Source organism: Homo sapiens, chromosome 3, assembly GCF_000001405.40.
Source record: "Homo sapiens chromosome 3, GRCh38.p14 Primary Assembly".
Lineage (NCBI taxonomy): Eukaryota > Metazoa > Chordata > Mammalia > Primates > Hominidae > Homo > Homo sapiens.
Genome location: NC_000003.12, coordinates 156,474,386 through 156,493,850, shown reverse-complemented (window position 1 = coordinate 156,493,850; position 19,465 = coordinate 156,474,386). Strand labels below are relative to the sequence as shown.

At 37.9% G+C, this 19,465-nt stretch overlaps 1 protein-coding gene across 11 annotated transcripts in view, besides 3 other annotated features; it reads right to left on the bottom strand.

Moving 5' to 3' along the window:
* Nucleotides 1–19,465, bottom strand: part of KCNAB1 (potassium voltage-gated channel subfamily A regulatory beta subunit 1) — a 420,928-nt gene that overhangs the window by 45,288 nt on the left and 356,175 nt on the right. For 8 of the 11 annotated variants that reach the window (XM_017007171.3, NM_172160.3, NM_003471.3 and 5 more), the window contains one exon: nt 19,031–19,117. The exons of 2 other annotated variants lie outside the window; for them this stretch is intronic. In XM_017007171.3, the coding sequence (XP_016862660.1) occupies nt 19,031–19,117 (87 nt within the window). Of the gene's footprint in view, nt 1–1,652; nt 18,408–19,030; nt 19,118–19,465 lie in introns of those variants that run through there. One more of the 11 variants, XM_017007174.3, reaches the window with a different exon arrangement.
* Nucleotides 9,590–10,789: an enhancer, noted in NCBI's record as "CDK7 strongly-dependent group 2 enhancer chr3:156200851-156202050 (GRCh37/hg19 assembly coordinates)". NCBI's record gives its function as "activates an origin of replication core promoter dependent on BRD2, BRD4, P300/CBP, MED14 and CDK7 cofactors, with strong dependence on CDK7, by STARR-seq in HCT116 cells {active_cell/tissue: HCT116}" and the evidence as "EXISTENCE:reporter gene assay evidence [ECO:0000049][PMID:35650434]".
* Nucleotides 9,977–10,066: an enhancer, noted in NCBI's record as "active region_20727". NCBI's record gives its function as "activates an Ori minimal core promoter by ATAC-STARR-seq in GM12878 lymphoblastoid cells {active_cell/tissue: GM12878}" and the evidence as "EXISTENCE:reporter gene assay evidence [ECO:0000049][PMID:35858748]".
* Nucleotides 10,097–10,356: an enhancer, noted in NCBI's record as "active region_20726". NCBI's record gives its function as "activates an Ori minimal core promoter by ATAC-STARR-seq in GM12878 lymphoblastoid cells {active_cell/tissue: GM12878}" and the evidence as "EXISTENCE:reporter gene assay evidence [ECO:0000049][PMID:35858748]".

The window sequence follows — 19,465 nt, the reverse complement described above, 5'->3', positions numbered from 1 at the left end:
TCTGTGGTCCTCCTGCCAAAAGTGCTTAATCTGAATTTAATCACTAGGAAATGCCTGAAAAACTCCAACTGAAGAACATTCTACAAAGTAGTCGATAGTCTTGTAAAATGTCAAAATTATAAAGACAAAGCCTGAAGAGCTGATCCAGCTTACAGGAGATGAAAGACACATGATGAGTAGCTACAACGTGTGATCTTGGCCAGAAAAGGATATTAGTGGGCAGCTGGAGAAACATGAATAAGACTCAGATTATATAATATTATTGTGTTAATGTTAATCTCCAGGTTTTGATAATTCTAAATGGTTACAGAAGATGTTAACATTTGGGGGAATCTGGGTGAGGGGCATATAGAAATCTTTGGTACTATTTTCCTTACTTTTTATGTCTGAAATTATATCAGTGGAAAGTTTAAAAATAGACAAAAGTACATACAACAAATAGAAACTCCAAAAAGGATAATATAATTTCAGTGAAGGATTCATTTTTTAAAAAAAGAAAAAGGATGCTGTAAAATAGAAATAGTAATATTTTCTTAGTATCCTGCAATGGATTATCTGGCACAGCCCACTTTGGTGGTTACTGAGGAAGAAGTCAGGCTCCCTACAGCTTGTTTAGGAAGAGGTGGGTGGGGCTCTGGTGTGGGCATATTTCTGGAGGGATCTGGTGAGAGACGGGTTGGCATCTGATCAAGGAATCTGGGCTGGAAAAACTAAAATTGGTTGTGTGTTTCTAAACCCTAAGGACTGTGTCTAGACTTTGACAGACACAGCCATATTTAATACTGACCACTCAAAACCACTGGTATTTTTATCCCATTTGTGTGGTTATTGTTTTACTCTTTAGCTTTGTCAAAGTAATACATGCACAGTATTTAAAGAGTCAATGCTCAAAGGCTTGTAACAAAAAGCAGCAGTCCCTTGAACTCTTTCCATGCACTGCAGAAGGAACTACTTCCAACTTACGTAGCTGTGCACTCTGGTATTAAGCTCTGTATTTCTCAATAATATTTACGTATTGCTCTCTTGGTTCAGCCTTTTGAGACATTATCTGTTGACCTCTCCTGGAGATGAAGCCTTTAGCTTCCTCTCATATATCCTTCAACACCCACTATCTTATTAATATATTCATATCTCAACTTTGGGTTAAGTTCATATTTTGTGTTTTCATTTTTTTAGTGGCTTAAACATTTTATTTCTCACAGCTTTGGGGTTGTTGGACTCAGCTGGGTGTTGCTTGTGACTCCTCCTGCAGTTGTAGTCATACAGAAGCTGAGGTAGGAGTATCTGAATTTCTTCCCTAACATCTCTGGTGCCTGGGCTGGGATGGCTGGAACAACTGAGGATTGGCTGGGTACTTCTCTGTATATATGGTGTCTCCATATGGCAGTTCAGGGCTTGGAGAGTGAGTGCTAAAAAAAAGTGGAATGAAAGCTGCCAGCTTCTTAGGCCTGGGCCCCCAAACTAATATAACATCACTTGTGTCTTATTGTTTTGGTTAAAGCTGTCACAGAGCATGTCCAGATTCAAGGGGAGGGGCTTGCACTTCAGAATGAGCAATTAAAAGAAGTAACCAATATGTTAAGGCTTTTATCTTCTTTTTTATTCTTTATAGCACTTAATATGGTCCTGCGTTTATTGTAGGTAAGAAAGAAACGCTCAATTCACTTTTATTTTTTGAAATGGAATGTACCTATCACCAACCAAATTAGAGGTGACATAGTTAGTATCTATTAATATACATTTTTATAGGAGCACTAGGGCTAGGAGTCAGAATTCTGGATAATTGGATTCTAGTTCTAGTTCCTCCAATAATTAGCTATGAGACCTGAAACAAAAGACTTACATTCTTGTCTGTGTCTTGATGTTTTAAAAGAGGATGGTGTAATTAAATTTAGCCAAATTACATTCCAGAATCGAATAATTTCTCTGATACTATGCAGTGCTAATCAGGACACTTAGAGTTCTCTATCTGGTTCTGTTCTTTTTATTGTTTCCTAATTTTATCACCTCCTATTTTTTCATCAAGGAATAATATTAGATAGCTAGCGTGTATTAAATATTCATTATTTATAGAGTCCTGTGGCCCTATAAGAGGAGTAAAAAGACCTCCAAAGCCAAATAAAGGCAATATAAGAAAATAAATTACAGGCTAATTTTTTTTATGAATATAGGCATAAAAGTCCTAAATTAAATATTAGCTTACCAGATATAGTATGATATTTAAAATGATAAAATAATACATCATAAGCAAGTTAAGTTTATCTCACAAATGTAAGTATAATTCACTGTGTTTTCATTTTTATGACTAAGTATTTAATATCCATGGCTGAGCAAAGTCATCTATAATGATTGTATTTCCTTTCTCCCATATATTTTCATGTTACCTTTCATTAAACAATTGCTTTATTAATTTAGTTTGATTTGGAGCTACAGCCGAGCTCCAAATATCTCTCAGTACAGTTTTCCACATGGTCAAGCTGATAAGAAACTCAGTTCCTTTTTGTTTTCCTGGCAACATTTCTTCTAGAGCCCTCCATCGTCCTGCTGCAGTCTCTGCTGGTCACTTTCTGTGCCTGCTGCATGGCTGTCCTCTTGGCGTTTTCCTTCCCATTATCTGGAAAATTCTTCTCCTCCCTTTAATGAATTGGATCCCATGGCTTCCACTTTGTGGCTTTATCTTTATGTGTTGGTGGAACATATTTTCCAGCAGCTTGTGGAGAAATTGTGTTTGAGAGACAGGAAAGTCAAAATGACATTACTTCTTCACCCTTGGTTTGTAGTTTGCCCATCATCTTTTTGCTTAGAATTTTGAAGGCCTGCTTCATGGTGTTTTGGTTCCCCATGTTGCTGTTGAGAATCCAGCAATCTTTTTTCTGGATCCTTCATGTGTGTATTCAATTAAATCTCTGAAATGTATTAGGATGCTTTTCTTTCTCTTTTCAGTTGTGAAATCTCATGATAATGTTTCTTTGCGTCAATCTCTATTCACTGTATTGGGTACTGAGTGGGCACTTTCCATCTGGAGACTTGTGTTCTTCCGATCTGGAAATTTTCTTGTATTGCTTTGCGATAACTCCCCCTCCTCCATTTTATCTGTTCTCTCTCAAGATATCCTTCAGTTGAAAAGATGTTGGACTCGTGGACAGAACCTTATTTTCTTATCTTTTCTCTCCTATTGTCCATTCCTTTTTCTCTTTTACTTTCTGGAATATTTTCTCAACTTTAATGTCCAGCATTCTAATTGACTTTAAAAAATTAGCCATTGTATTTTAAATATGTAAAATCTTTTTCTAGTTCTATGTTGTTCTTGCTCTTTTCCATCTCGTTTCTGTTCTATTGATGTAGTACCTTCTCTTATATCACCAAGTATATTATAGTTTCTTTGAACATTTCTGTATCTCTCTGCATTACTCTGTTTTCTTTTTTCTATTTATTTGAGCTTCTTTTCCTGTTAGAGACTTTCTTTGAATGTCAGATGATCCTTGGGTTTCAGTTCACATTTAAGAATAAAGCACTAAAATTGTGCTTGAACGGTGTTTGTCCACTAGTGCCATTCATGCTGTAATTTTCAATAGGGTTTTCTTCCACAACAATGTCAATATCTGTTAGAATTTTTCCTGGGACAGTTAATTGTCTCCTAGGAGATACTCTGTCTTCTGCATGGGGAGGGTGTGACCTGGCTGCTGGTGACCTGGACATGGGTGAGAGAAGGGGTCTGGGGTCTCAAGTCTCATAGTCTTTTTATTTGCAGCCTGGCTCCACCTTGCTCTGTGCCTGATATCTCTCAGCTTAGAGCCTGTCAACTCAATGTCTCCAGTTAATAAAACTCCTCTTCCTTCATTGGAGGAGAAAGGCAGGACACTGACTGCAGACCTGGGGACATGAGCTTTAGTAGCTCTGTATCCTCTTTTAAAGAACTACCTTGTTCCTGGTCCCTGCCTCACCCCCATCTTCCGTGACATTGGATTCTCTAATAGATGAACCATCCTGAGGTTGTGTGGTACATGTTAAGTTGTTACTCATCTGCAGGCACTTAAAAAAAATCTTTCCTCAGTTCTGCTAAGTCATTTATAATCCTCATCCCTTTTCCATTTTCATACATATTGGTCTAGGTTTTCAGTTCACTGACACTTTCATGAGAAATGAAGTTTCTATTTCTGTTTCTTTGTCTCTGTGTTGTGTATTGGGTAGCTTTTTATTTTTTAAAAGGAAAGGGTAGAAGCATTTTTACTTTGTCCTGCTAATTCCAGATGTTTCCTTACTTTTTTCCAAATTAGGAAACTGTGAGTCAGAGGCTAAGTGGCTTTTACTCACCCACTCCCTTCTTACTTCACCAGAACTCTCTTGTCAATGTTGTTAAAGATTTCCACATTGTTAACACCAATAGACAATGTTCAGTCTTCATCTTACTTGACCTATCAGTAACATTTGATATAGCTGATCCCGTCTTCATCTTACTTGACCTATCGGTAACATTTGATATAGTTGATCCCTTCTTCCTCTTTGATGTGATTTCTTTATTTCTTTCTTGAACATTACACGCTTCTCCCCATCCTCTCAACCTCCTAACACTGGAGAGTCCCAGAGCTCAGTCCTCAGTCCTTTCTTTCTATATCTTCTTTTTTTTCTGCTTTTACTACTTGTGTGATTTCATCAATTCTCAAGGGTTGAAATACCATTCGCATGCAGACAGCTCCCAAATTTATGCCTTCATCCCAAGATGGAGTTTCAGCTTTGGTGTCTAACTCCCTACTCAGCATCTTCACTTGGCCACCTAATAAACATTTCAAACTCAAGATGACTAAACTCAAACCCCTGAGCTTCCCCACAGCTGGTTCCATATCAGCTATGAATCCCATATCAACTGATGGCAACTCCATCCTTTTGGTGACTCAGGCCTAAAACCTTGGAGTCATTCTTCACTCTTTTCTTTCAGTCACGCTCATATCTAATTCACCAGGAACTTCCGTTGCCTCTAACTTCATTATTTATCCAAACTGAACCACATTACAGTCCACGGCTAGTGCCCTCATCTGCACCCTATTCTCTCATCTAGATTGCTATAACCATTTTTTAACATATCTCCCTGCTCCTACATTTGCCCCTATAATGTATTCTCAATCCAAGGAGGGAATGCTTAGGACTCTGGAGTTGGCTATTGAGAAGGCTGCCCCTATAACGTATTCTCAATCCAAGGAGGAGGTATCCTTTTGAAATGTAAGTCAAGTCACGTCACTTTTTTGTCAAAAATTCAGAGAGCCCAAAGATCTGGCCTCACTTATTTCTCTAAACTCGTCTCCTTCTACCTTCCCCCTTCCTTACTCTGCTGCAGCCACATCTATGTCCTTGACGTTCCTCAAACATGACAGAAGGCTCCCATCTCAGGGCCTTTGCACTGTTTCTACAGCCAGAAGTAGTCTCCTTATCTCTCTTATGGCTATTCACCTGACTTCTTCAAGTCCTTGCTCAAACCCTACCTTCTCAATGGCCAACTCCAACTTCCTAAGCATTCCCATTCTAATTTCCCTGCTTTAGTTTTTCTTTTTTTTTTTTTTATAGCACCCATCAACATCTAATATTCTATACAATTTAACTTTTTGTTATATTATTGTTTCTTATCTCTCCTGCCAGAAAGAATGTGCCCAACAGGGGCTGGGATCTTTGTCTATGTTGTTCTCTAATAAATCCTATGTATGCTGTGGTATACAGTAGACACTCAATAAATATTAGTTGGATATGAATAAATGCACAAGGCCAGGTTTTGCACCTGAGTGTTTATACTATGTCATGTTCTTCTGTGGGTCATCTGAGTACTATATGGTGACATTTAAAATGCATTACGTAGGGTTTTTGAGACAGGGTCTTGCAACATTTGATCTCTGCTCAGGAAGAGAGTAGGGATGAGAGAAACAAAATTTCATTCTTTCCTCTTACCCATTTTTTATTTTTTTTTTATCTCCCTTTTTTGGCTTTTTGTTAAGTTTTATGTGAATTCTCTTGTCAGATGGGTTTATCTCCTATCTCATTAGATAAAAACATTCATTTTAAAGTGGTTATTGGGTTTGTTTAATTACCAAACTTGCTTCTAGTTTCAAAGGCGATGATACAATGCTTTCCTTTTTGCCCTTAATACAGAAGAATATTGGTTAACACTAAGCTTTCTTTCCCTTCCTACTGCTTCCCTGTACAAACTGTTCCATCCACTGGCCCTTAAAAACAAACAAAATGGTTTTCTTGAATAAGCAAATTCTGAGCTGACTATATTTGGATTGTCAAAATTTTAAGTCTAAAAGTATCTTATTTAATTATCAGCAATTTTGTATGATTGGCTTCACTGGAGCTAGACACAACACACGCTTTCCCTTTTGAATTTAAAACAAATACATAAAACTTAACATGGGGATACATTTAGAAATGATGGGTAAATTCCAAACTGCAGAGGTTGAGGCTTTTGTGGCATATAATATTTTCCACTATTTGAACATTAACAAATAATTACTTCCCAAAGTTGAAGTGACACCTCAAAAGTTTTCAGATTCCCAAGGAGGGTATGTGGGGTGAAGTAGTGCTGGAGTATGAGGGATGTCTTTGTATAATGTATGAATTTTATACAGGGGGCCAAGTGCTTTATTCTGTAATTTATGGAGACTCGAATCTTAAGCACATAAGGTTTTCCTAAACTTCCAGTTATATTGGACTTAATGGTATTTTCATATAAAGTAAACAAATTTGTTTCTGAAACTAAGAGTTAAATTTTTTTGGCATGTGCATGTAATTTAAGTCAGATTTAAACTTAGGTATTTAAACGTGTAACAAGCATAACTAATGATAATGTAATCCTTCAGCTTAATTTTTTTAAATCTCCTACTGGTCCTTAACATTCAGTAGAGCAAGTATCCTTTGGCCTTGATGAAAACTCAGACTGGTCCCACATCTTTTCTGCTCATTCTATGGTAATACAGAGACCTAAAGTCATTTTAAGTCATAAGCACATCCTCCAACAATCTCAATCAAACTTCAAACTCAAACTCTTTTCCTCTGCCCAAGCTGGGACCTGTTTAGGCTAGAAGACTACAAGAGTGTCAGGTATGTTTGGTTTCTCTGTTTCTCTATTTTCTCCCTCAAATCCCTGTCCTCCAGCCTTCATCCTCCAGGAGGCCCTGAAGGGCAGGACTCAAGAAGACCCCACACAGGAGACATTTGTAACTACCTTCCCTACCAGTCCCAGGAGGTCAGCACTCCCCCAGTGGTGCCACCAAGACAGATAGTCAGCCCACCTCTTTACCCCTGGATTTTCCAGGCATGCATCAGCTCCTAGGCCACTATGCTCCCCAGTCATGGGGGTAATGTTTTAAACCATCTGAATGGCCTTCAAACCCCCATCCCAACCAGGGTGGCAATGAAGAGGCAGCCTTCTCCCATGCTGGGGTGGATGGAGCTCACAGCACAGTTTTCTTCATACGTGCCCTTCTCACTAGACCCCCTTTACTCCCCTCTCTCAACTTTTATACTTTTGAAGCCAGTGAGGAGCTCCAGAGTCACTGAACAGAGAGTAGGGTAAGAGCAGAAGGGAAAGCTTCTCTTTGTAGAAGAAAACCAACTCCTAAAGAAAGAGGAGCTGATGGAATCAGGAAAGCACCGTCTCACAGCCCTCCTTATAAAAGCGGACACAGGCAGGGATCCTTGGTGGGTGCTAAAACAAGGTTGTGGGGGACAGGCTATTCACATAGTCTCAAATAATCACATTCTAGGTTATTTATTAGTTATAAAGTTAAAGAGGTACTGTCACAGGGGAGAAACCTGGCAGACATCACTTGAATCGAGTGATCAACCTGAACAGGACCAGCAATGGGATGCAGCAACCCTCCTGGGCCCTCGGAAAACAGTGTGGAAAATACTATGGAATAGTATGCAGACAGAAAAAAGAATGAAATCATGTCCTTTGCAGCAACATGGGCGGAGCTGGAGGCTATTATTCTAAGTGAAATAGAATCAGAAAATCAAATACGTCATGTTCTCACTTGTAAGGGGGAACTAAACAAGGGCTACACAAGGACATGAAGATGGAAATACTAGACAATGGGGACTCCAAAAGAGGGGAGGGTGGCAGGGTGGTGAGTCTTAAGAAACTCCCTATTGGGTACAATGTTCACTATTTGGGTGATCAGTTCACTAGAAGCCCAAAGCTCAGCATTATGTAATATACCCATGTAACAAACCTGCACATGTACCCCCGAATCTAAAATAGAATAAAATAAAAAAATTTAACAGTCATGACAATTAAATGTACTGCAGGATTCATGCCCCCCCCAAAAAAGCAAAACAAATAAATCCTATAAAGGACATTTTAGAAAATTTGAATATGGCTTGAATATTCTTGAGTATGATGATTGTGTTATGGTCATATAGAAGAATGCCTTATTCTCAGGAGATACTGGAGAAAATATTTATGAATGAAATGTCACAATGGCAAAGAACAAGAGAGGGAAAAACAAAGGCAAAATGTGGCACAATTTGGTAAATGTAGGTGAAGAGTATTGGGTGTTTATTCTTTCACCATTTCTATAAGTTTTTAATTTCTCAAAATAAAAAGTTGGGGGAAGAAAGAGCTATGGAACAAGCTCTTGCACACTTCATTTGAAAGTACAAATGGAGAACTGGCATCTCACTCTAAAATGTCATTTCAATTGTTTCTTGGTGTCTGGCTGAAACTTTGATTATTACATCTTCCAAGGTTTATATATTCCTAAAAGTGTAAACATATGTAACAACAACAACCTCAAAATATTTGTGCAGGACAATTACAATTTATAACATGTTTCCACTTATCTCATTTTGTCTTCACAACAATCTTGGAAATAGCTAGAATATTTTTATTCTTCCCATTTTACAAATGAAAAACTGAGAAGCTGAAGGTCTGAGCAACTCAGCCAAGTTTATATACCTAAGACTAACGCCCTCACCTTCTGATTGCAGACCTCATATTTTTTTAGGACACATATTAAATATTCAGGAGGGGGGTTAACAAAACCACTTACTCTCATTATTAATACTTCCTTTTGTACAGAAAGTAAGAGAGAGACTCGAGGGTATTTGTTTATCCCCGGCTGTCTGAGAATTTTCGATTACCCTGACACAGGTGGCTCTGCTCACTGCATTCAATCAGCATGCCAGTAAACCCTCAGAGTGTGTTGCTGCTAAGTCATGTTAGTCTCCAAGTCCTCTGCATGTCACTGCAGATCTGCTGCAGCAGATCGAGGAACTTACAGAAATGAATTCTCCTGAGATCCAGTCAACATCCCCTCAGAATATGGAGTTAAATTTTGTCACAACTCCAAATATCTCTCAGAGAAATGACAACTCACAGAAGGAAGTGCACATGAGTCATAAACCCACAGCCCCAGAATACTAAGCAGCTCTGTTTTTCACCTGACAGCTGGGGTGAGCAGAAGCACTCTCTGTTCTCCCTCTCTCTCTCTCTTTTTTCTTAACTAAAAACAACTTAAGGGAAAAAGAAGAAGAAGAAAAAAGCATCCTTTTGGAGCTTGGTGAAGTCCACAGACTTGTTGTGAGAAGGTACAATAGTCTCCCAAACATTTGGCCCACCTTGTTTTTCCTTTTTTAACTTACTGAATGATACAGATTGAATCTCTTCTGCCTTCGCTGTTGAGTAAAGATGTCATGAAAGAAAAAAAAGGTGGGGGAGGGAGGAGAGAAAATAGAGGAAGTAAACTGCATAGCATATAAGCATATCCTTCTTTAGAATCTTCCCTTCAAACCAGGACTTTATGGAATAAGGTTGGGAATCACTGATTTCCAAAGAAAGCGGAAAATACAACACCAGATGAGTACAATTGTTTTTCTGGAGTATAGTTTTCTTTAAAGCCAGCTCTTCACATATTTTCTGCAGCCTTGGCAATTGTTAACTTCTCAGTAGTTCTAGTAAAGGTAATTTCTCTAAAGCTCTTGTTCTTTCTATGGAACCCAGTTGGAAAAGATCATTTGTTAACCAGGGGCTCTGTTCTTATAGATGCATATCAGAATGATCCACAGTCAGAACTTTGTGGGCCTCTTGTTAATGCTGGAAATTTTTCAACAGGCCTGGAAGATTTGCCGGACCTGAGGCAACATGTCAACAACTGAGAGTGGTGAACTCTGTAATGTGCCTTTGCTGTATGACTTAAGATTATTCAGTTCTGCTCAAGAAAGAAAGTGAAACAAAGAAAGAGGATAAATGAAACTGGGTGGAGATGCAAGTAGCTTGTGAGACATAGGCAGAATTTATATGATGAGCATGGTAAAACTAAGTGGATTAGTAACCCCTGAGTCATAGTGGCCATCAACAAAGTAGAGAATGTGCATGCTGAACACAGATAGGAGGGAGGAATGGAAAGAGGTGATATTGACAACATATCCATATGCATACGACATCAAACATTTGAAATATACTAAATATAAATACATAAAATATGAGAACTTAAGTCTTCAGTCAGCCACCCATTGGTGACCCCCATTCTAGCCACAGAAATCCTCTGTGCAAGGAATGCAAATAGTCCTTAGCTGTTCATCAGGCCAAATGATGAGCTACAGGTCATGGCCAGGTGGGCTTGTCCCTGTGTCTTTCCAAGTATACTACTGACCCGGGCATCTTTTCCTTGCTGAGCCCCTTGCTGAAACCTCAGATTTGACCTATATAATCACACCACGGAGAAGGTCAATGTGGTAGATAGAGAGAACAGGTCACATGAGCACTGTGTGTCCCAAGATTTAAGTAGCTGGGTTCTTTCTCCTGCGTGAATTCTAGTGTAATTATTTTAACTGTCCCTATCTCTTCCCCTCTTTCTTCTCATAATGTGTTTTAATTGATTTGATAAACCATGTGACTCATGCATCTTAATTTGTTGTGTTAGCCTTCTTCTTTGAGACCTCTAGGATAACCTGGTAGTAGACCTGGAGACTACAATTGCATCAAGGTAATTTCCTGCATAAAAAAATTACAGCAGTACTATACAAACAGTAATAATAACAAAAATGGTAGCTCTAAATTTCGAGTAGTTACTAGGCAACATCCTAAGCATTTTGTGTATATTATCTCAAATAATCCTCACAATAACCCTATAGAGCAGATATTATTACCTACGTTCTACAGATAAGAAAACCAGGGACAAGAGAAGTTCAATAACTTGCCTAAGATCAATTGGCTCGTAACAGAAAGAGGATTTGAATTGAGGTCTGACTCTTAATGCCATACCTTTGCTATTTTGGAGGAGTCCAAGCTATTTTCCAAACCCCCTCCCCACTGCCCACCATTTCCTCCTATTAGGTCATCCTAACTAAAATCTACCCCCATAACTTCCTAGCCCCCTCCCATGATTAGTTTGTTTCTCCATTCTATTATCACCATCTAATGTAACTTTCTTACTAACTTTTTGTCTGTCTCCCCAACAAGAATGTGATTTTTCTAAGGATAGGATTTTTGTTTATTAACTTCTGCTTCTCCAAGTGCCCAAAACAGTGCTTAAATAGTAAGTATTCAGTGAATATCAACTGAATGAATGAGTTAATCCTATTATTGAGTTGTTTTTTTTTTCTAGAGACATCTTTGAAAATAAAGTCACAGGCACAAGATCACCTTTCAGGCTGAATAGATTAACCCTGGAAAATTTATGATTAAATCAGCTTAAAGGGCATAAAGAGTTTCAGAGCAAAATTTTAGGAGGAAAAAAAGGGCTATAAGAAAATTACACTGCCAACTCCATGGCTTGAATCTTACATGACTTCATCACAGATCCTGTGCAGCCCTGCAGCTTGGCTATCTCCATTAGATTTTCATCATATTATAATTTCAGGGCCTTGGACTTCTCCCATGATTACCTCTGAGAAGAGATCCAGAGAAAGGAGAGTTTTACATGCCTTACCTAGGGCATTCTAGAAATGGAGCTTACGTTTGTTTGCCCCAGCTGTGAGTGAGGTGCTGTAACCACATTGTTAACTCATTCAGATGGTGCTTTATGTTTCCTCTGTTTTCAGGTGAGGAAAGTGAGCCTCTGTGAGGATAGTAGCTTTTCCCAAGTGTACAGTCTGATAGGTAGCAAAGCCAGAATTTGAAGTTGTGTCTGTCTAATGCCCTAGTCCACTCTGCAGAAATATTGTTCCAATGAGGAGGTCCACTATGAACAGAAACATGAGATTTTCTAAACAGACGAACTTGAGATGGAAAGAACCTGAAGTGAACCCTACTGTCCCCCATTGTCATTTCTTAGGACGGATGAAATAAATTTGTCTTTTTATGACACAATTTTTTTGGTCTGTACAGGACAAAACATCAGCTAAATAGGCCTAAAGTATCAGGAAAATTTTTGGTGAATTTGCAGTTAAAATGGAAACAAAACTGCTTTTTAAAATTGAAACACTTTTTTTTTTTTTTTTTTGCAACAAGCTTGGCTGGGTTTGGCTCATCTTCTTGGATATGAAAATCATTTTCTCCAAATTAATTTCTTGAAAACTCAACTGTCCCGGGCTTTCAAACCAGGGGGTTAAATTGATCTGATGTACACCAGAGGCCTTGGGAACGTCCTGGCCAGGGTAATAAATGAAATGCATTAAATAATCTTAATTGATACAGTAATACTCAGGGGGCAGCTGTATTGCCAAATTGTCCCTTTATTCATTTCTGCTCATTTAGATATCAATCAGATTTCTAAAGAGAGATGCAGTGCATCTGGATGCTACTGTGATTGTAGATGAGAAACAGCATGTAAGTGTCCTGGGGCTGTTTGGCAGCAACCTGTCAACATCTCCTTGAAATATGTTGAACCAGGTACTAGAATGTTTATAGAGGTTAGGAAACCAAGATGGGTTTTCAAGTAGAGGAAAATGAAGTTGGAGCTATTTAACTTTGGAGCTTTATTCATTCAATCACTCAAACACTTGCTCAGTCATTCATCCAGCTAGTCAATAAATATTTATTGAGCACCTACTATGTGTCTGCGGCTCTGTCAGACTGGGAATATGGTTTATAAGCCTGCGTGGTCAAGTACAGTAGCTACTAGCCACATGTGGCTATTGAGCACTTGAAATGTGGCTGATCCTAATTAAAATTGTCTACTGAGCAGCTGAAATGTGTTGCTCCAAATTAGGGTGTACACAACTGATTTCAAAGACTTAGTAGGGAAAAAAAAGAATGTAATATATGCCATTAGTAACTTTTGGATACTAATGGATCATGCTGAAGTGGTAAGTTTTGATATATCACATTAAATAAAATATAATAACTAACCTCACCTGTTTCTTTTTACTTTTTTTTTTTTACTTTAAGTTCAGAAATACATGTGCAGGACGTGCAAGTTTGTTACATAGGTATACATGTGCCATGGTGGTTGGCTGCACCCATCAACCCGTCATCTAGGCTTTATACCCTGCATGAATTAGGTATTTATCCTAATGCTCTCTCTCCCCTTGCCCCCCACCCCACAACGGGCCCCGATATGTGTTGTTCCTCTCTCTTTTTACTTTTTTAATGATGTAGCTAATAGAAAATTTAAATTATATATATGTGGCTTGCATTATATTTCTATTGGACAGCTCCCTGATAATATTTGCAGAAGATTTCTTCCTTCTATATCATGTTTTTTCGAATGGCTTGAAGGTAACTTTCAGGGAAGATAATAAAAGATAGAGGCAGAAGGCCTGATCTACTGTGGTTAAATGATGTTTCTAGGTTTTAGGTGGTTAATTTTGGTTTTGAAAACTTTTTACTTTGGAAGTTAAATATCTAGGTCCAGTATTTTGGAACTGTCAAAATGTAGAAAATTTGGGATACTGCAATGTTTTTTGCTTTCTGGCATTTTCTAAGTTGTCATTGGATATCCTGAATCCCTGAATATCCATAGATGCCTGCTTTCACATGACAACACTAAAAAAGATGGCTTAGAAAGAAGTAAATACTTATGGAATGGGTTATTTGACAAGATGATACTATGGGAATAAGTGAAGCTAACTTTGGTCTTGCTTCTCTTATTTGAAATTGAGACATCTGGGCTGCTTTATGTCTGTGCTGATCTGCTGGCAGGAAAAAATTAATAACTGGAACCGTTATCAGCATGGAAATAATATTTAATGACTCAGGAATTCTGTAAGAATAATCAGTCTTGGCAACAAGCTCTATATGAAAAGTAAGGACTCAAATCCAAGTGTTTTTAAAATAAAAAACTAACTAAAATTTAATTTAATTTAAAAATCATATTTTCAGATCGAAAAGTTAGTGTGTCCCCTCTTCTTGCTGTTGTCTACAAGTGGTACAGGCTTATACCTTCCTTTCATGACCACAGTTAGGCTCAATCTGTTCTTCCTGGAGCAGTGAGAAGAGTATAGGTAGAGATATTAGCCTGGTGTTTGGGAATGACAGAAAGTCAAAAGAAACAAACAAAAAAACCCAAAAAACTCCTCATATGGCTCCTTGGACACACAAATGCTCTGTGTCCATCCATGTCCAGACTGACTCTATTGCCTGAACTTTTTCTTGTCTAATGAGCTCGAGAGAAGATTTTGAAATACAGGTTAGGGATTTGTGGAAGTGACAGAATTAGGGATATGAGCTTCATAGAGCATAAAGAACTGTCAGTGACTCTACTGGGAGGAACACAGACCCATAAGAAGGAGGAAATGGGATGTGGGGCTGATTTTTTTCTAGGACTGGAAAACATGCCATCGTTGCCAGATATTGTAGCAGAGACAGATGGCATGGCAGATGCTGTGAAAGAAAAATGACTTACTACTAGGTGAACCAGAAAAAATAAACAAGAGGGACAGAGGAAAAAGTACACAAGCTCCCCTCCATTGTCAGGAACATCTTCCCATAGCCTGAAAATGTCTAACTGTATTCCATGGGGTTGCAGATTGCGAATGAAGTTTCTCACCCCTTTCTCCACTGATTGCACCTTTGGAATTTACAGCCATTCTTTTGAGAGGACTCGCTTTTTGTCTATTGATTTTCTAAGAAATAAGGGAAGGAAAAAACTAATTAGATATATGATGCCAATATGTTATAAAGATGCTGCAGTTAATCTTTTTCTGGCTCAAATGGTTGCTGTATGATATGTAGAAACTGGATGAAGCTCGTCTTGGTTTATTTTTAAAATGTTCCCGATTAACATCATTTCATGGTAGAAACCACATGAATACAATTGGCATTTTAATAATATTTAAATGGAAGTTGTTTAAAATGTATCTTAGCGATGCTCATTGTGGGCACACACATGACCCTTGACATTTGCATAGTTTATGACTGGAGACTCTCAGTGTCCCCAAGTTCTTGTACTCCGCGCTACCTGGTAATCAGTGACAAATAAGAGCAAGCACTGGGTTGGGCTGAACTCATTTGAAAGTGCTACGTCCCCTGTGTTTAAAAGAGGTGCCTCAGCAGAATTATGTCAGCGTGGGTTGTGACTCCATGGGGTTGGCAAATAATAGTTGAAATCAATAAAAATGATTTACAAATGCTAAGGGTCCATAGTATTAATAAATGTAGATTTAATATATAAATACTCAACAATATATACTTGGCAACCACTGTTGTGTCACTTAAACAGAAATGGATGCAAGTGAACCTAAAATAGCCAACGTGAGTTGCTGAAACAAGAAAAAAAGTAGTATCATTTGATATTAAGGATTTTTCTGCCACTACCGAAAAAAAAAGGTTGGACAACTATCTGGTGATGATTTTTTCACCACATTTGAAAAATAAATTGAATAATTAATTAACGCCAATAGAATATCATTAACTAACAGAGTTACTGTAGTGTTTTCAAGGGTAATTTGATTATAAATAACATTTGCCTTCTGTAATGTTTTTAGAAACACTGATAGTCTTCCTAAGGTATACCCCCATTGTACATGTACAACTTTATTCCCATACACACACTGTATGAGTTACAAAATTGTTGCAAAGGTGACTCTCAACAACATGGAATCCAGAACTAACACAGGCACCTTGTTTTCCCCCCATTTTTAGGGTGCCAAATGTACCCAAGTCCACCGGACAGTCCTGTCTCTTTATTTCCTATTTCTTCTTTATTTCCCAGATCAGTACCTTCCCCCGGTACAGTAAAGTAGAAAAGACTATATGTATAGATGTGTTTCCAGAGACTTATATCAAACTCTGGTTGTTCCAGTGGGCCCACCTTGGAACAAATGAGTGTACTAAGTTTGAGGATAAACATTTTCTGAAAGCTAGGAAAAGCTCACATGGAAGCTATTTCAATCTGGAACAAGTCCTGCATGAGGAGCTGCCTGTGGAATGTCCCTGCAGGGTCCTCCCAGAAGAATAAGCCTCAGAGGTTGATTGGCCTGCTGGGGTGAGTCTCCCCTTCCTAGTGAGGGGGAGCAGGCAACATTCCAGCATGAGGTGGTTGATTGCTGCTGTGCTACAAAATGCCATGTGCCTTGACCTTATCAACAAGTGGCGAATCTCCATTGTTTGACACCCTTCATTATGCTTCTGAGCTTGGAAAATGACTCAGGATAAAATAGCTTCCCATTCCGCTTTGTGGAATTGTATATAAGAAACTACTCAGGAAAAATGTAAATTTTCTCTGATTCCCATAAAGGCTAAATAATGCTGCAGTTACGAACTCCACTGGGCAGCAGCAATTATTTTTTAAAACACTTTGAAGATTTTTAAAATAAATTTCAACATGTAATAAATATTGATACAAGAGACATCATTATCTTGTTGGTATCACATAGTTTGGCTCCTAATTGAGGATTTCCTCCTTCTTCTATAAATATAATGCAAATTATGTTTTCTGTTTGAGAGACTCCTACAATATATTCCTAAAATTAAAGGTAGGGGTAAGATGGGAACAAAATTCTTAAAAATCTCAGATGTTCTGCTATCCTGTACATGGTATAACTGCAAAGAACACTGTCTAAAAGAGGAAAATAGTCACTAGGCACTTAAAATGTGAAGCAATTCCAGTCTTTCATAGACCCCACTAAATGGCATTTTACTTGACACTATTGCAGACTAAATAACTTTAGTGCTCTGTTTTAATGTGTCATTAAGAATTGACTGGAACATTTCTACACTGCTGGTGGGAACGTAAACTAGTACAGCCACTATGGAAAACAGTGTGAATATTCCTTAAAGAACACGCGTGTTTACAGCAGCACAATTCACAATTGCAAAATCATGGAACCAACCCAAATGCCCATCAATCAACGAGTGGATAAAGAAACTGTGAGATATATATATATGTGTGTGTGTATATATGTGTGTGTGTGTGTATATGTGTGTGTGTGTGCGTGTGTGTGTGTGTGTGTGTGTGTATATATATATATATGATGGAATACTACTCAGCCATAAAAAGGAATGAATTAACAGCATTTGCAGTGACCTGGATGAGACTGGAGACTATTATTCTAAGTGAAGTAACCCAGGAATGGGAAACCAAACGTTGTGTGTTCTCACCGATATGTGAGAACTAAGCTATGAGGACACAAAGACATAAGCATGCTACAGTGGACTTTGGGGACTTGGGGGGAAGAGTGGGAGAGGAGTGAGGGATAAGACTACAAATATGGTGCAGTGTATTCTGCTCTAGTGATAAGTGCACCAAAATCTTACAAATCACCGCTAAAGCACTTACTCATGTAACCAACTACCACCTGTACCCCAATAACTTATGGAAAAATAAGATAAAAAATAAAAAAAAGAGTTGAATAACGTCATATTATCCTTGCAATAAATACTTCTTATACTAATAAAATGCTTATGATTTGCTTTCTCAAACACCTAATCTTTGCTTTGACAAAAAATATGCAGTTTTATGTCATTTCCATGGAAAATTTCCCACGCTGATACTGCTTTATAATAAACTCCTAATTTTACCCGGATTCAAGAAAGAAGAAAACTGTAGGAGAAAGTTAGTTATAAGACTATATATATTTTACATTTCTCTGTAGTTGAGAATGAGACAAATGGCAAGGAAAATAATTTCCATAACTTTTTTATGGTCAGAAATACAACCCAGAAAAATTTATAATATGTCAATCATTTATACTTTTCCATTACTATAACCCTTCTATAACCCTATAACAAGAACCACTCTTTACAGAGCCTGATTTATTACAAGATCCTGCCTTTTGAATCATCAAGGACAAAGTTACCTTCAATGTAATCTCATGTGAATCAAACTATTCTAATTATTTTAAAAGTGGTAATCCACATCATACTGTTCAAATAACCAGAATATTCATTTTTGCTCTTTTTCTCAAATATCTTCATTCTCAATCACCTCAGGTAAGTGATAATCCATATGATTTTAAACTTCAGTTAACTGGAACATTCTTTTTAATTCATCCTCAGCCTCTCAAACTATCTTCTGTCTCAAACATCCTAGCAAGTTCTGTAAATAAATGTAAATCGAAGAAAATCTGGTTTTAGAAACATTCTGAAAGCTTCCACAGGGAGAAGCTTAAACTGTGGTCCTCAAACAGTTATAACAGAAGGGGGATAAAATGTTGCAGCTCCTTGAGACTCAACAATCAAACTGCAATGATATCTTATTTTGAAGCAGTCACTGCTGTGGAATCCCTGCTGGTGGCACCACTGAGCATTGCTACCACAGACTGGAAACTAATCAGACTTAGAGCCATTATAAAATAGGAAGACCCTCAAAGGATTTACTGTGACGCGATGATGGCTGAGTTATAAAGCCCCTTTCCAATTAACTTTATTGTTTTAGTTGATGAAATCACAAAAGTGAAATGAACCTGGAAAAGGTGAGCACTGTAACCAGCGGGAGCCACGAGCCCAATGCCTTCAACTGCTTTAAAAGAAGAAGACGCAGCACGCAGAGCATTGGTTTTGGGGTTAAACGCTGAGGCCAAAAGGCATCAGTCAGAAACATTTTTATTTTTCACATTCAGTTTGATCAGTCTGAATACAATTCATTTCCTGCTGTGAGCAGAATAAGCCCTCAAACTGAATCAAGATTTCTAGAGTATTTTATTAGCTTTCTTAACTTACCTTCCATGGGAGTGTTACTGTCCGGTCGATTTGCAAAGACCACATCCACATACTCGAGCTGCAGCCTCTGGAGGGAGCCCTTCAATCCTGGGAGCAGAAGCAGGAAACAAACCCCAAAATCTAAATATGAGCACTATTCAGAGTTGAAGTTTGGTTTCTTTCAAGAATTTGCTTTAAAAAAATAGAATTGGAATAGTTTCAAAAATGCGTTGAATACAATGATTGTTAATTGACTCTAGAACGTTTTAAAAATATATGAAAGGCTGACTTCCCCCAATAAAAAAAGTCTTAGAGCTTTTTCAGGAATATTATCACTCTCACAGGAAAATATACACTTAGGAATGACCTTCACAGTGACTTGTATGTGGCAATATCCAGAAGCAAAATTTAGAATAAAAAGCAGCTTCTTTCCAACAGTTAGTGTTTTTCTTCTTG